The sequence below is a fragment of the Homo sapiens genome, chromosome 1 (assembly GCF_000001405.40).
Source record: "Homo sapiens chromosome 1, GRCh38.p14 Primary Assembly".
Lineage (NCBI taxonomy): Eukaryota > Metazoa > Chordata > Mammalia > Primates > Hominidae > Homo > Homo sapiens.
The window spans coordinates 8,232,621-8,249,955 of record NC_000001.11 but is presented as its reverse complement, the minus strand read 5'-3'; the positions used below and the strand labels follow the sequence as shown (position 1 = coordinate 8,249,955).

The 17,335-nt window shown below is 47.9% G+C and overlaps 1 long non-coding RNA gene across 1 annotated transcript, besides 2 other annotated features; it reads right to left on the bottom strand.

The window, feature by feature from the left end:
- Window positions 1-948: 948 nt before the first annotated feature.
- Window positions 949-9,998, bottom strand: LOC105376695 (uncharacterized). Its single transcript, XR_946937.3, has 3 exons — window positions 9,833-9,998; window positions 5,656-5,766; window positions 949-1,342 (listed from the first exon to the last, which is right to left on the bottom strand). It is a non-coding gene; the product is annotated as an uncharacterized LOC105376695 (long non-coding RNA).
- Window positions 9,349-9,904: an enhancer, noted in NCBI's record as "H3K4me1 hESC enhancer chr1:8300112-8300667 (GRCh37/hg19 assembly coordinates)". NCBI's record gives its function as "activates a minimal SCP1, AML or CMV promoter by ChIP-STARR-seq in naive H9 embryonic stem cells {active_cell/tissue: H9 hESC(naive)}" and the evidence as "EXISTENCE:reporter gene assay evidence [ECO:0000049][PMID:30033119]".
- Window positions 9,905-10,461: an enhancer, noted in NCBI's record as "H3K27ac-H3K4me1 hESC enhancer chr1:8299555-8300111 (GRCh37/hg19 assembly coordinates)". NCBI's record gives its function as "activates a minimal SCP1, AML or CMV promoter by ChIP-STARR-seq in naive H9 embryonic stem cells {active_cell/tissue: H9 hESC(naive)}" and the evidence as "EXISTENCE:reporter gene assay evidence [ECO:0000049][PMID:30033119]".

Sequence of the window (17,335 nt, the reverse complement as noted above, 5' to 3'; positions counted from 1 at the left end):
TGAGGCTTCTTCAGCTCAGCATATCAAATGCCAAATTTTGGGGTACTGGCTTCTGAGCCCCAAAATTGGTCCTTACATTTTATTTTATTTACTGTAGTACATTGATTTGTAACGTTTACACGTTTAGACACAAGGAATGAGGCTTCCATGGACCTTGGTGGCTGGGGCCCCACAGTCCTGTGAAGGCCTGATGGTCAGAGAGGGGTGAGAACTTCAAATGGACTCACTGAGGGTACTATCTTTCCAGTACGCTGTTGATTGTGTCCCAATGGTAGGTCATCATACCAACTTAGTGGACTGCAAATAACTTTTTTTTCTTATTTGTTTATTTATTTTTGAGACAGACTCTCACTCTGTCGCCAAGCTGAAGTACAGTGGTGCGATCTTGGCTCCCTGCAACCTCTGCCTCCCGGGTTCAAGCGATTCTCCTGCCTCAGCCTCCCGAGTAGCTGGGACTACAGGCGCCCACCACCACACCTGGCTGATATTTTTTTTGTTTTTGTATTTTTAGTAGAGATGGGGTTTCACCATGTTGGCCAGACTGGTCTCGAACTCCTGACCTTAGGTGATCTACCCACCTAGGCCTCCCAAAATAGTGGGATTACAGGCATGAGTCACCACACCCGGCCTTTTTTCTTTTTTGGAGATAGAGTCCCCTCTGTCACTCAGGCTGGAGCGCAGTGGTGCAACCGTAGCTCACTGCAGCCTCCAACTCCTGCACTCAGGTGATCCTCCTGCCTCAGCTTCCAGAGTAGCTAGGACTACTAGAGCATGACACTATGCCCACCTAATTTTTTAAGTTATTTTTTGTAGAGATGGGGCCTCGTTTTGTTGGCCAGGCTGGTCTCAAACTCCTGGGCTCAAGAGATCCACCCACCTTGGCCTCCCAATATTGGGCCCGGCCCCCAACATTTATATTTTTAACAAAATAGAATAAAACAGAAAATATTGGAATGCAGCCCTTTAATAACAGCATTTCAGTAAAACATTCTTTTTCATTATGCAGGCTAGTCTTGATGGTAAATGTATCTTCTCCTGTGGGTCCCTGTTAAAAGAGCATGACAAGCTGGGTGCAGTGGCTCATGCCTATAATCCCAGCACTTTGGGAGGCTGAGGCGGACAGACCACCTGAGGTCAGGAGTTCAAGACCAGCCTGACCAACATGGTGAAACCTCACCTCTACTAAAAATACAAAATTACCCGGGCATGGTGGCACATGCCTGTAATCCCAGCTACTCAGGAGGCTGAGGCAGAAGAATCGCTTGAACCTGGGAGGCAGAGGTTGCAGTGAGCTGAGATCACACCATTGCGCTCCCGCCTGGGCGACACAGCAAGACTCCGTCTGAAAAAAATAAAAAAATAAAAATGAATTAAAAAAGAACTCTCTTAAGTGGGACTGTTTGGGTGACAAATGAAAAAAAAAAAAAAACCACTAATGGCTTTAGGCTGGTATTGAAGTAGCTTTAAATTTTTTTTTTTTTTTTGTCTTTTGAGACAGGGCCTCACTCTTTCACCCAGGCACAAGTGCAGTGGCACAATCACAGCTCACTGCAGGCTCAGCTTCCCCAGACTCAAGCAATCCTCCCAACTCAGCCTGCCGAGTAGCTGGGACTACAGACGCATGACAATATGCCCAGCTAGTTTTTGTAATTTTTGTAGAGACGGAGTTTTGCACATTGTCCAGGCTGGCCTTGCTTGAACTTCTGGGCTCAAACAATCCACCAGCCTCCTAATGTGCTGGGGTTACAGGCGTGAACCACCGCGTCCAGCCACTTTAAAATCTTATTCCGTGGCATACTAAAGAGGAAACATACAAAGGTTTTTTTCCAGTATTTTCAGTCTAGACTCTTTTGAAATGTCGGAAAGTATGTACCTAATCATTAACTTTTATTATGGATCTATCAGGCTTTAGTACAGAATAATGTAATGATTTGCTAAGCCTCCATCAACTCTCATTCCTAGAGGCAGGAGGATCTATATGGAGCAATTCTAGATTTCCGACAGGTTTTCCTGGGGCATTTTCCAGTTATCACACCCAGGGAAAGGCCATAAAATTGATATCCGGCACCAAATCACTTTTACAGTTGGAAACAAACTCACTTGATTGTGAAACAACCAAAGCTACTGTTTTCTCCTGTTAGACTAGAACTAAATCACACACACAAAATCTAATCATCCCATTTTTTTTTTCTTTTTCTTTGAGACAGAGTCTAGCTCTGTCGTCCAGGCTGGAGTGCAATGGCACGATCTCGGCTCACAGCAATCTCCGCCACCCAGGATTCAAGCGATTCTCCTGCCTCAGTCTCCTGAGTAGCTGGGATTACGGGCATGCGCCACCACACCTAGCTAATTTCTGTATTTTTAGTAGAGATGGGGTTTCTCCATGTTGGTCAGGCTGATCTCGAACTCCCGACTTCAGGTGATCTGCCCGCCTCGGCCTCCCAAAGTGCTGGGATCACAGGCGTGAGCCACTGCGCTTGGCCACTACCCACGTTTTTATTTATTTATTTGGTGGCAATGACAAGTTTCCAGAGTCAGAATTTCACCTCCTCTGCCTTCGCTGTAGAGAGCCGCCAGCCTGCACTTTCATTGGTAGAGCTCTCCGCTCACAGTCTCTTAATGAAACTGCCCTGGGGAAACTGGAGTCCTTTTTCTCTTTCCCATATTCAAATCTCTGCAGTTGAAGATTGGCCAGGTGCGATGGCTTACGCCTGTAATCCCAGCACTTTGGGAGGCGGGAGCAGGTGGATCTCCTGAGGTCAGGAGTTCGAGACCAGCCTGACCAACCTGGTGAAACCCCCGTCTCTACTAAAAATCCAAAAAAAAAAAAAAAAAAAAAAATTAGCCAGGCGTGTTGGAGTGCACCTGTAATCCCAGCTACTCAGGAGGCTGAGGCAGGAGAATTGCTGGAACCCAGGAGGTGGAGGTTGCTGTGAGCCGAGAGATGGTGCCCCTGTACTCCAGCCTGGGCAACAGAGTGACTCTCTGTCTCAAAAAAAAAAAAAAGAAAGCAAAAAGAAAAGATTGTCTTGGGTGTAGCAGAAGTTAATTACCCACACCCAGTTTTCTGACAGTCTGTCCCTAACTCTTCTAAGCAGCTTGGAGATTCATTCTAGCTAGGACATTGGCTCATGGAGTGAACATTCAAAGAATGAATATAGGACCATTAAAATTTTAGTGTTTTTTGGGGGGCGGGGCAAGGGGAGAAATGGAGACTTTTATTTTTTAGCAACTTTATTGAGATAGAATTCGCATACCATACAGTTTACCCATTTAAGGTGTACAGTTCTATGGTTTTTTAGTATATTCACATAATTGTGCAACCATCACCACAATCAATTTTAGAACGTTTTGATCATCTCAAAGAGAAGCCCTCACCCCTTAGCCATCATCCCTGGGACCCTCCCATTCTCCCCAGCCCCTGGCAGCCACGAATCTATTTTCCATCTGTGTGGGTTTGCCTGTTCCGGAGATTTCACGGGAATGGAATCATACAAGATGTGGTCCTCTGAATCTGGCTTCTTTCACTGAGTATAACGTCTTCCAATTCCATCCATGTGGCAGCATGGGTTAGAACTTTATTCTTTTTTTTTTTTTTTTTTTTGAGGCAGAGTCTCGCTCTGTCGCCCAGGCTGGAGGGCAGTGGTGCAACCTCGGCTCACTACAGCCTCCGCTACCTGGGTTCAAGCAATTCTCTTGCCTCAGCCTGCTGTGTAGCTGGGATTACAGGCGCCCGCCACCACACCTGGCTAATTTTTGTATTTTTAGTACAGATGAGGTTTCGCCATGTTGGCCAGGCTGGTCTTGAAATCCTGACCTCAGGTGAACCACTCACCTCGGCCTCCCAAAGTGCTGGGATTACAGGTGTGAGCCACTGTGCCTGGCCAGAACTTTATTCTTTTTAGGGCCAAATAATATTCCCTTGTGTGGACAGACCACATTTTGTTTATCCACTCAGTTGATGATGGGCCACTGAATTCTAGAACTGCAGTGGACATGGGAGACCCCTAAAGTAACCCTCAGGTTCTTTTTTTTTTTTTTTTTTTTTTGAGGCAGAGTCTCGCTCTGTTGCCTAAGCTGGAGTATAGTGGTGTGATCTTGGCTCACTGCAACCTCCACCTCCCGGGTTCAAGCGATTCTCCTTCCTCAGCCTCCTGAGTAGCTGGGACTGCAGGCACGTGCCTCCACGCCTGGCTAATTTTTTTGTAGTTTTAGTAGAGGCAGCGTTTCACCATGTTGGCCAGACTGGTCTTGAACTCCTGACCTCGTGATCTGCCCACCTTGGCCTCCCAAAGTGATTACAGGCGTGAGCCACCATGCCCGGCCGTTTTTTTTTTTTTTTTTTTGATACAGAGTCTTTCGTCTCACTCTGTTGCCCAGGCTGGAGTGCAGTGGTGTAATCTCGGCTCACTGCAACCTCCGTCTCCTGGGTTCAGCAATTCTCCTATTTCAGCTTCACGAGTAGCTGGGACTACAGGCACGCTCCACCACGCTCAGCTAATTTTTTGTATTTTTAGTAGAGATGGGGTTTCACTATGTTGGCCAGGCTGGTCTCCTGAGCTCAGGTGACCTGCCCACCTCAGCCTCCCAAAGTGCTAGGATTACAGGCGTGAGCCACCCCACCCGGCTGAAATCATTTTTCCATATTTGCATATTATGTCATTAAAAAAAAAACAAGATTAAAGACACCATCGAAGTTTTATATGTAACCCCCTCCCTGATCCCTGGTCCTAGTCTCTTTCTTCCCAGTGGGAACTCTTTTTCGGGTATTTCCATGCATATTTTAATTCTTTTATTTTTTTTTTGAGATGGAGTTTCATTTTTGTTGCCCAGGCTGGAGTGCAATGATGCAATCTCGGTCACCGCAACCTCCACCTCCCAGGTTCAAGCGATTCTCCTGCCTCAGTCTCTGGAGTAGCTGGGATTATAGGCATGCGTCACCACGCCCGGCTGATTTTGTGTTTTTAGTAGAGATGGGGTTTCTCCATGTTGGTCAAGCTGGTTTTGAACTCCCGACCTCAGGTGATCTGCCCACCTTGGCCTCCCAAACTGCCAGGATTACAGGCATGAGCTACGGCGCCCAACCACGTATTTTAATTCTCCTACTACAAACACACATGTCCATAAACATGCATACCATTCTGTGCATGTATTCAGGCTTCATATAAATAGCATCATACTGTAACATTTTGTAACTTGCTTTTGAAAATATTTTATTTTTGAGATTTAGTCATGTCGACATATGTAGCTGTGGTTTACTATTTTCATTGCTTGTAGCATCATCTGTATTCCCTGATGAGTATTTAGATCAAGGGTCTCAAGCGTTTTCTGCAGAGTCAGGTTGTAAATATTTCAGCCTTTACAGGTCATCCATTCTCTGTGCAGTCTCTCAACTCTGCTGTTGTACCCGGAAAGCAGCCTTGGACAATATGCAAACAAATGGGCGCAGCTGTGTTCCAATAAAACTTTGTTTATAGAAACAGGCAGTGGACAAGTTTTGGTCTGTGGTCCGGTTTGCTGACCCTGATTTAGTTTATTTTCAAATTTTGCTGGTTCTAATCCAGCTAGGTCTAATATTGTTGTGCCTGCATCCTTACACACCTGTACAAGTGATTCTCTAGAAGGTGGAATTACCATGTTATGGGGAATGCTTACCTTCAACTTGACTGTGTACTGCCAATGGCCCTCCACAATGGTTGTACAGAGTTCATATGGATGAGAGTTCAGGCTGCTTCTGTCCTTTCCAACTCTGATATTTAATTTCTCCTAATGTGATGGACATAAAGTGATACCTCATTACGGTTTTAAGTTGCATTTCTCTATTATTCTGAGGTTGAGCATTTTCTCTTATGTATTAGTCATTTGGGTTTCCTTTTCATGAACTTGTTCATAGCCTTTGCCCATTTCTCTTTTGGGTTCTTATTTATTTATTTAGATGGAGTCTCACTCTATCACTCAGGTTGGAGTACAGTGGCGCAATCTCGGCTCACTTCAACCTCCGCCTCCTGGGTTCAAGCAATTCTCCAGCCTCAGCCTCCCGAGTAGCTGGGATTACAGGCGTACACCACCATGCCTGGCTAATTTTTGTATTTTTTTAGTGGAGATGGGGTTTTGCCATGTTGGCCAGGCTGGTGTCGAACTATTGACCTCAGGTGATCCACTTGCCTTGGCCTCCCAAAGTGCTGGGATTACTCAGCCTCCCGAGTAGCTGGGACTACAGGTGCCCGCCACCATGCCCGGCTAATTTTTTGTATTTTTAGTAGAGACAGGGTTTCACCGTGTTAGCCAGGATGGTCTTGATCTCCTGACCTTGTGATCTGCCCGCCTCGGCCTCCCAAAGTGCTGGGATTACAGGCGTGAGTCACTGCGTCTGGCCTGATTTTCATTTTGAAAGATTGCCCTGGCTGCAGGGTGCAGCCAAGAGTGCCCTGCCACTGCACTCCATTCTGGGCAATAGTGTGAGACCCTGTCTCAAAATAAATAAAAAAAATATAAATTTATTATTTTTATTTTTTATTTTGAGACCCTGTCTCAAAATAAATTTAAAAAATACATAATTTTTTAAATTTATGAGACCCTGTCTCAAAATAAATTAAAAAACAAAACTCCTACCACACCCAGCCAATTTCCTTCTTTCTTTCTTTCTTTCTTTCTTTCTTTCTTTCTTTCTTTCTTTCTTTCTTTCTTTCTTTCTTTCTTTCTTTCTTCCTTTCTCCCCCTCCCCTCCCCTCCCCTCCCCTCCCCTCCCCTTCCCTTCTCTTCTTTTGAGATGGAGTCTTGCTCTGTCACCAGGCTGGAGTGCAGTGGTGCAATCTCGGCTCACTGCAACCTCCGCCTCCTGGGTTCAAGCGACTCCCCTGCCTCAGCCTCCCGAGTAGCTGGGACTACAGGCATGAGCCACCACACCTGGCCCTTTTTTAAATAAATAAAAAATAAACAAATAGTGCTGGGCGCAGTGGCTCACGCCTGTAATCCCAGCAGTTTGGGAGTCTGAGGTGGGTGGATTACCTGAGGTCGGGAGTTGGAGACCAGCCTGACCAACATGGTGAAACTCATCTCTACTAAAAAAATACAAACAAAATTAGCCAGGCGTGGTGGCTCGTGCCTGTAATCCCAACTACTCAGGAGGCTGAGGCAGGAGAATTGCTTGAGCCTGGGAGACAGAGGTTGCAGTTAGCCAAGATAGTGCCACCGCACTCCAGCCTGGCCGACAGAGTGAGACTCTGTCTAAAAAAATAATAAATAAATAAATAAATAAATAAATAAATAAATAAAGTATCTTGGATATTACATAGGTCAGCTTCATTCTTTTTAATGGCTGCACTGTTCCACTGTACAGATGCCCCCGATGTGTTTAACCAATTCCATATTCATGTACATTGAGGCGATTTCCTGACGTGTTTTATCAGTCCACTTGTCTTGTGTTACAAATGATGCCTTTGTTTGCTTGTTTCTTTGTTTGAGACGGAATCTCACTCTGTTGCCCAGGCTGGAGTGCAGTGGTGTGATCTTGGCTCACTGCAACCTCTGCCTCCTGGGTTCAAGCGATTCTCCTGCCTCAGCCTCCCGAGTAGATGAGATTACAGGCGCGCGCTACCTTGCCCGGCTAATTTTTTCTATCTTTAGTAGAGACAGAGTTTTAGCATGTTGGCCAGGCTGATCTCGAAACTCTTGACCTCATGATCTGCCCGCCTCGGCCTCCCAAAGTGCTGGGATTACAGGCGTGAATCACTGCCCCCAGCTTGTATTTTTTTTTTTTTTTTAGTAGAGACAGGGTTTTACCATGTTGGCCAGGCTGGTCTCCAACTCCTGACCTCAGGTGATCGCCCACCTTGGCCTCCCAAAGTGCCGGGATTACAGGCATGAGCCACCGCGCCCGGCCACAAATGATGCCTTAATGAACGTTCTGGGATCTATGTCTTTATGCATGTGTGCCGCAGTGTCTATAGGATAAATAGGAAGAATTCCTAGTTTTGAACTCCATTTTCTATCCCACACCCCTTTCCAGAGACCGCCGTGCTCTTCGCTGAAGACCTGTACTTGCTTCAGCCAACATCCGCCAGGTCATGCTGGTCTTTGCTTCTTCCTTCCTTCCTGGCAAGAAGACAAAACCAAAGGCACACAGAGCAGACAGCTCGCCTTCCTGTGCTTTTCCTGTGGACCTGTGGTTGCTCCTGGGCTGTCATAGCCTCTGTAGACTTCGGACCTACTTATTTATCTAGGCGTGCAGTGGCTGCTGCTCTGTCCTGTCTCCACTGCCTGCCTGCCTACTTGGGTGTCTGGCACCCCGGGCTCCTCCCTTCCTTCAAGGATGGCATGGGTCTTGGACTTGGATCCATGGAATCTGCTTGCTTTTCCTTATGCTGAAGGACTTCTCAGCCTGCCCTGTGTCTCCTGTGTTTGCGATGCTGGTTTTCTCCTTCCTAAAATAACTGACCCTCCCACCCATACCTCATGCTCCATCGTCAGCCACAGTCCAGAGGCTGCTTGAGCCCTCATAGCGCATTTACTCTGTCGACCGCTCTCGCCAATGTACCCTCCACCCTGCAGCTAGAGTAATCTTTCAAAAAGAAAATCAGGCCAGGCGCGGTGGCTCACGCTGTAATCCCAGCACTTCGGGAGGCCGAGGTGGGCGGATCACAAGGTCAGGAGATCGAAACCATCCTGGCTAACACAGTGAAACCCCGTCTCTACTAAAAATACAAAAAATTAGCTGGGTGTGGTGGTGGGCACCTGTAGTCCCAGCTACTCGGGAGGCTGAGGCAGGAGAATGGCGTGAACCCGGGAGACGGAGCTTGCAGTGAGCCGAGATCACGCCACTACACTGCAGCTTGGGTGACAGAGCGAGACTCCATCTCAAAAAAAAAGAAAAGAAAAAAAAAGAAAATCAGGCCAGTTGTGGTGGCTCACACCTGTAATCCCAGCACTTTGGGAGGCCGAGGCGGGCAGATCACAAGGTCAGGAGATCGAGACCATCCTGGCTAACACGGTGAAACCCCGTCTCTACTAAAAATACAAACAATTAGCCGGGTGTGGTGGCGGGCACCTGTAGTCCCAGCTACTCGGGAGGCTGAGGCAGAAGAATGGCGTGAACCCGGGAGACGGAGCTTGCAGTGAGCCGAGATCACGCCACTGCACTGCAGCTTGGGTGACAGAGCAAGACTCCATCTCAAAAAAAAAAAGAAAAAAAAAAGAAAAAAAAAAAGAAAATCAGGCCAGGCACGGTGGCTCACGCCTGTAATCCCAGCACTTTGGGAGGCTGAGGCAGGTGTATCACCTGAGGTCAGGAGTTTGAGCCCAGCCTGGCCAACAGGGAGAAACTCTGTCTCTACTAAAAGTACAAAAATTAGCTGGGCATGGTGGTGTGTGTGACTGTAGTCCCAGCTACTTGGGAAGCTGAAGCATGAAGAATGTCTTGAACCCGGGAGGTGGAGGTTGCAGTGAGCTGAGATCCTGCCACTGCACTCCATTCTGGGCAATAGTGTGAGACCCTGTCTCAAAATAAATAAATAAAAGAGAAAATCAGATCATGTTATTCTTTTTATTACTTCCGCCCACCCGTCCCCCACATCCCATCGCTGGGCCCAAGCAATGCTCCCACCTCCAGCTTCCAAAGTGCTGAAATGCAGGTGCGAGCCACCACGTGGGGCAGCTGTTTTCCTTCTAAAGATCCTCCTATGGCTGGCCTGTAACCATGCGTGTAATCCCAGCACTTTGGAAGGCTGAGGTGGGCGGATCACGAGGTCAGGAGATCAAGACCATCCTGGCTAACACAATGAAACTCTGTCTCTACTAGAAATACAAAAAATTACTCGGGGGTGGTGGCACGCACCTGTATTCCCAGCTGCTCGGGGGGCTGAGGCCGGAGAATCACTTGAAACCGGGAGGCGAAGGTTGCAGTGAGCCGAGATGGCGCATTGCACTCCAGCCTGGGCGACAGAGCGAGACTCCATCCAAAAAAAAAAAAAAAAAAAAATCTTCCTGTGGCTTCCAATGCACTTAGAAAAAAATCCAAACAATTCATCAAGGCCTGCCTCTCAGGCCCCTCCTCCAGCGCCCTCCCCACTTGGAGGCCTTCAGGCTGTCGCTCCCCAGGACAGGCTCCTCCCTGGGGCTGGGCATTTGCTGCATCCTTTGCTGGACAAATCCCCCACCTCCTCTTCCCCCGCCTTCAATCCCCCTCTACGAGTAGATGGGGCCACGTGGGCGCGGTGGCTCAGGCCTGTAATCCCAGCACTTTAGATCACACCACGCAATCCAGCCTGGGTGACAGAGCAAGACTCCATCTCATAAAAAAACAAACAACAACGAAAAACAAGTAGATGTGCCTCCCTCTTCCTCCATGGCCTTTATCAAACCTCCCCCCCGAAACAGAATGGATTTTCCTTGGAGAATGGCCTGCTCCTCATTATATAGTGTCAGCTAATGTGTCCCCTCTTCTAGAGGGTGTGACAAAACCAGGCCATTCAGACAACTCCCCTCTGGAATTTGACCCCAGAGTGCAGGTGGCATTAGAATTTACAACAGGCCAGCGCCATGGTTCCGGCCTGTAATCCCAGCACTTTGGGGATCTGAGGCAAGCAGATCACCTGAGATCAGGAGTTTGAGACCAGCCTGAAAATATAAAAATTAGCTGGGCCTGTAACCCCAGCACTTTGGGGATCTGAGGCAAGCAGATCACCTGAGGTCAGGAGTTTGAGACCAGCCTGAAAATACAAAAATTAGCTGGGCGTGGTGGCGCATACCTGTAATCCCAGCTATTTGGAAGCCTGAGGCATGAGAGTCGCTTGAACAGGGGAGGCGGATGTTGCAATGGGCCAAGATCTATCACTGCACTCCAGCCTGGGCAGCAGAGGGAGACTGCGTCTCAAAAAAAAAAAAAAAAAAAAAAAAAAGTTTACAGCAACAACAAAACCATTGGAACAGATTTATTTCAAAGGTGGTGCCCAGAAGAGACTTCCCTTGGACTGCTGCTCTTCGACGGCCCATCCCTCCTTGCCTCCACCTCCATACCCCTCCCCCTCACGCCTGCCCATCCCCCCATCTTCCATCACCCTTGCCTTCCATTCTACAGGCTTTCCGAGTCCTCCCGAGTCAGCCTCCCTTCTCATTCCCATAGCTGCCTTGATCTCTATTCTTTTCACTCAGAGAATCCTGCCTGACCGTCCCCTACCTCCTGGGGCCTGGACCTGTCTGTCTAGCCCTCCCCCCAACCCCCATTCACCTGGTGCCCAGTTCCAAGTCTGCACCCAGAAGCCCTGTATAAATATTTGATGAAAGAATAACAAAGGTTAATAAATCCCTGGCACTTTCTGAGTGGGGAAAGGCATAGAATAGGAATAGGAGTGAGATGTTTTGAGACAGGGACTCGATGGATTACTAACGAGCTGCATCATACGCCTTTGATTTTGTTGATGCCGCCTCCTTTGGAGCAGACATGTGGCTTTGAGGCAGTGTCCGGGCAGGACGAATGCAGCGTCTGTACTGTAAATTACTCAGTACCGAATATCCCACATCACTACCCTCATCACTGCGGCTTCTATCAGTGCTGAATACGTGGAATGTGTTTTTCTTTTGATGAAAAGGGAAGTTCTCTTGAGAAAGTGGGACAGTTACTCATCTATTCAACTTTCGAATAATTTCGTACATGCTGGTGACCAGATGTTTCATCTCTGATGTGTTGCTGAACTGATTCAGTCCCTTTTGTCAACACTGATCTTTTTGCTGCACTCCAGTGACCAATAGGAAGATATGGAAATGACGGTAGACTGCACTTCCTGGATAAAAAGCAAATATGCACATACAGGCGGGAACCGAAGTATCCATCCCCAGATTCCATAAGGGCCACAGGTGGCTTTGCCTGCGGCTGTTCACCATCACATCCCGGTGCCCAGCACCGTCGGAGTTCAATTAATGTATCAAATAACTGGATTTAGTTACTTACATTTTCATTAAAAAGCTAGTTTTGACACAAAGCAAATTCTTTTTTCCTTTGTTTCGAACTGAAGCTAGAACCCCAATAACAATAAAATCTCAAGGTTGAAAGACCATCTCCCCCAGGGCAGGGCGCTGTGGCTTACGCCTCTAATTCCAGCACTTTGGGATGCCAAGGCTGGCGGATGATTTGGGCCCAGGAGTTTGAGACCAGCCTGGGCAAGATGGTGAAACTCCATGTCTACCAAAAATACAAAAATTAGCCACTCTCATAACACAGTCTCAAAGTAAATAATAATAATAATAAACAAAAACAAAAAGATTATCTCTCCCAAGTGCCCATCTGAAGCTGAATTCCCTGTAGATCATTTTGGCCAGCTCTGCATCGCTCTGGATTTGGGCAAATTTTCCTTGTGTTAAGCCAAAAATCATACCGCAGGTACGGACAAAATAAGTCCACACTCTTTTGTGTGTGTGTGTGTGATGGAATTTTTGCTCTTGTTGCCCAGGCTGGAGTGCAATGGCGCAGTCTCAGCTCATTGCAACCTCTGCCTCCCAGGTTCAAGCAATTCTCCTGCCTCAGCCTCCCGAGTAGCTGGAATTACAGGCGCTGGCCACCACGCCTGGCTAATTTTTTGTGTTTTTAGTAGAGACGGGGTTTCGCCATCTTGGCCAGGCTGGTCTCAAACTCCTGGCCTCAGGTGATCCACCCGCCTTGGCCTCTTGAAGTGCTGGGATTATAGGTGTGAACCACCAAACCCGGCCGAGTCCACACTCTTACACATGGTCTCCCTGCAAGTATTTAGAGGCATCCTCTCCTTTTCTGCAGGATGCCCACCACCACCACACCCAGCTCTCACTCTAAGAAATCTCTCTCACACATTGTTTCAACCACTACCTCTAGCCCCATTCCCCAGAGACCCCCCTACCCTATTCTCTACAAAAGCAGGGCCCCCACCCCCACCGACAGGCCCGTGTCCTGGGCTCCCTTCTCTGATTGCTCTAAAAATTCAAATGGGTATAGTGGCTCTCACACCTGTAATCCCAGCACTTTGGGAGGCTGAGGCAGGAGGATTGCTTGAGGCCAGGAGTTTGAAACTAGCCAGGGCAACCTAGTGAGAGACCATCTCTAGAAAACTTAAAAAAACTTTAGCCAGGTGTGGTGGTGCACGCCTGAAGTCCCAACTACTCAGGAGGCTGAGGCAGAGGATTGCTTGAGCCCAGGAGTTCAAGAATACAATGAACTGTGATGGCACCACTGCACTCCAGCCTGGGAGACAGAGAAAGACGCTGTCACTAAAAGAAAAAAAAAAGTTGACTAGGCTTGGTGGCTCACACCTGTAATCCCAGCACTAGGAGAAGCCTAGGTGAGTGGATTGCTTGAGCCCAGGAGCTCAAGACCAGCCTGGGCAATAAGGTGAGACTCTGTCTCTATAAAAATATACGAAAATTAGTTGGGCATGGTGGCGCATGTCTGCAATCCCAGCTACTTGGGAGACTGAGGTGGGAGGGTTGTTTAAGCCCAGTGCCAGTGCACTCCAGCCCGGACAACAGAGTAAGACCCTGAAGAAAGAAGGAAGAGAGAGAGAGAGAGAGAGAGGAAGGGAGAAAGAGAAAGAGAGAGAGAGAGTTGGGGAGGGAGGGAGGGAGGAAGGAAGGAAGGGAGGGAGGGAGGGAGGAAGGGAGGGAAAGAAGGAAGGAAGGAAGGAAAGAAAGAAAGAAAGAAAGAAAGAAAGAAAGAAAGAAAGAAAGGGAGAGAGAAAGACTTCTTTTGTCCCCTCATGCCTATGACTTTAACCAGCAACAGTAAGTGGATGGTTCCCAAATTTCTCCCTGTGTCCCTGACATCTAGTCCACACTCCAGACCCCTGACTCCAATCAGCTGTTTGACACCTAGCCTGCATGTCTCATGGCCTGGCAGGGTGCCCCAGGTAGGGCTGGCGACTCCTGCCTGCACCTGGCCCCTCTCTCCGTGAGCTGAGCAGCTCCCTTTAGGGTCCTGCTGTTTCTTCTTCTCCCTGACTCCCCAAATTCAGTTCATCACTACGGCTTATTGATTATAGCTCCAAAATACAGCATTGTTCAAATCGCTCCTGTCTCTCTCTCCACGGCCATTGCTCTAGTCCACGTCACTGGAATTTCTCAGCTGAACTCTTTCAGGAGCCTCCTCTCATTCCTTGCATGAATGCTTTATTTATGTATTTATTTATTTATTTATTTATTTGAGATGGAGTCTCACTCTGTTGCCCAGGTTGGAGTGTAGTGGCGTGATCTCAGCTCACTGCAACCTCTGCCTCCTGGGTTCAAGCGATTGTCCTGCCTCAGCCTCCCAAGTAGCTGGGATTACAGGTGCATGCCACCATGCCCAGCTAATTTCTGTATTTTTAGTAGAGACGGGGTTTTACCATGTTGGCCAGGCTGGTCTTGAACTCCTGACCTCAAGTGATCTGCCCACCTCAGTCTCCCAAAGTGCTGGGATTACAGGCTTGAGCCACAGTGCCCAGCAGACCATCCTCTTTCTGCCACAGGGCCCTTGACTGTGCGGTCTGAGTCCTCTCTTCTGCCTGGAGTGTCTTTGCCACCCCTTGCAATGGTCGCCTCCTCTCCATTAGACACCCTTCACGAGCCCGCGGTTTCTCTCTCATGGCACCTAGAGTAGTTTATCATCACTTATTTACTTATATATATGGTGGTTGTATGTCGGTCTCCCCCACTGGATTCCAAACCCCCTGCAGGCAGGAATCAGCTCAGTTGTCTTTCTCCGGAGACATCCCCAGCACTTAGGAGAGCTCCTGGCATATATCAGATGTGTGATAAATATTTGCTACATGAACATGTGGTGATTCAATGTGCATTTCTAGTAAGTATCTCTCCCCTGTGACCCAGGGGGCCAAACGGCTAAATTCAAAACTGATTTCATTCTCTCTCTCCACCCTGTCTGTTTGGGTCTCAGTGAGCAGCCCATGACCCCACGAGTCACCATCACCCCCACCTCTCAGGGGTCAAACCAAGCCTCATTCATCCTGCCTCCTTAACAACTTGCATTTCTGTCCCTTCTTCTTCACTGTTATTGCTCTGAAGGCTTTTGATCACCCCCCAGTCCTCATACCCTGTGGTCCTTGTAGCTTCCGACCCTGGGACCCTCCTCTCCTTCCATCAACACTGTCTTCACCTTGTTGGCAAAGCACAGTTACCAGCCTCACAAAAACATCAGCCCTTCTTTGTCGCTAGCTAGGGAGGCATCTCCAGGTGGGGTCCTGGGCTGGGGGACCCTGGTGACTTCTCTCTACCCTTACTCTTTCCCTAAGACTGGGCTGATATCCTGATCAATGCATCTCTGCCAGGTGCGGTGGTGGCTCACGCCTATAATCCCAGCACTTTGGGAGGCCGAAGTGGAAGGATCACTTGAGCCAGGAGTTCGAGACCAGCCTGGGCAACATAATGAAACCTCATCTCTACTAAAAATACAAAATTAGCCAGGCATGGTGGTGGGTACCTGTATTCCCAGCTACTTGGGAGGCTGACGCAGGAGAATTGCTGGAATCCGAGAGGCAGAGGTTGCAGTGAGCCAAGATTGCGCCAGTGCACTCCGGTCTGGGCAACAAAGTGAGACCGCCGGGCGCGGTGGATCACGCCTGTCATCCCAGCACTTTGAACCTGGGAGGCAGAGGTTGCAGTGAGCTGAGATCACTCCATTGCACTCCAGCCTGGGGGACAAGAGCAAGACTCTGTCTAAAAAAAAAAAAAAAATGTATCTTGGAGAAGGGACTGGGCCCCCTCCCTATGTGAGCTCTGCCCACTCCACTCCTCAGTGATCAGAGCGGACAGGAAACTGTCTTTACAGTAAGGCCCGATGTTGTTTTTCCCTAATTGGTTTTAAATTTCCCTTCTGCCAGGCGCAGTGGCTCACGCCTGTAATCCCAGCACTTCGGGAGGCCGAGGCGGGCGGATCACCTGAGGTTGGGAGTTCGAGACCAGCCTGACCAACATGGAGAAACCCCGTCTCTACTAAAAATACAAAATTAGCTGGTCATGGTGGCGCATGCCTGTAATCCCAACTACTCGGGAGGCTGAGGCAGGAGAATTGCTTGAACCCAGGGGACGGAGGTTGCAGTGAGCTGAGATCGCGCCACTATGCTCCAGCCTGGGTGACAAGAGCGAAACTCGGTCTCAAAAAAAAAAAAAAAAAAAAAAATATATATATATATATATATATATATATATACACATATATATATATGTATATGACACCTAGCCTGCATGTCTCATGGCATATAAATATGTCTCATACATATACATATACATCTCATGTCTCATACATATACATATACGTATATGTATATATATACACATATATGTGTGTGTGTATATATATATATATATATATATATATATATATATATATATATTCCCTTCTATCACGCTTTGTATTCCTGAGATGATTCTTCTGAGATGTCTACCAGTTTCTTGTATTTGTCCATGTTTAGGTAACTTTCTTTCCTTTCTAGTGGCAAAGTGCTGCCTGCGGCTTTCTAACCTGGGGAGAATCTGCAAGTGCACTCTCGGCTGGGAAACCTAGAGAGGCTAAGCCATGTTCTGCGGCAGCCTTTTTGTGCAGTAATAAAAATGACGCTTTGGCCGGGCGCGGTAGCTCATGCCTGTAATCTCAGCACTTTGGGAGGCTGAGGCAGGTGGATCACCTGAGGTCAGGAGTTCAGACCAGCCTGACCAACATCGAGAAACCGCGTCTCTACTAAAAATACAAAAATCAGCTGGGCATGGTGGCGGGCACCTGTAATCCCAGCTACTCCGGAGGCTGAGGCAGGATAATTGCTTGAACCTGGGAGGCGGAGGTTGCAGTGAGCCGAGATTGCGCCATTGCCCTCCAGCCTGGGCAACGAGAGCAAAACTCCATCTCAAAAAATAAGTAATGAATAAATAAATAAATAAATAAAAATGACGCTTTGTTGCGAAGTTTCCCAACACAAAGAAGTGATCAACGTGTGAGGTGATGGTTAATTACGCTGATTTGATCACTATACATTGTATGCACGTATTAAAACATCACACTGTATCCCATAAATATGTACAATTATTTTGGTGTCAATTAAAGATGATAAAGAAAATGATGCTTTGGTCTCAGTCTGCCTGATTCCCATATACTGCAGTGGAAAACAGGGGCAATCACACACAGTACCTGCCTCCTAGAACAGCGATGATTAGATAGAAGTTGAAAGGCGTGAGGCACTTAGCAAAGTGTGTGGCACAGAGGAACCGCTTCGGAAATGTTAGATATCATCATTATTGTTAAGAACCCACACGGAGGAAAAGGGGATTATCAGCAGGGCTGGCAAACCTCAGCAGATCCCACCAAACCCCCGGCTCCAAAGACAGCGCACAC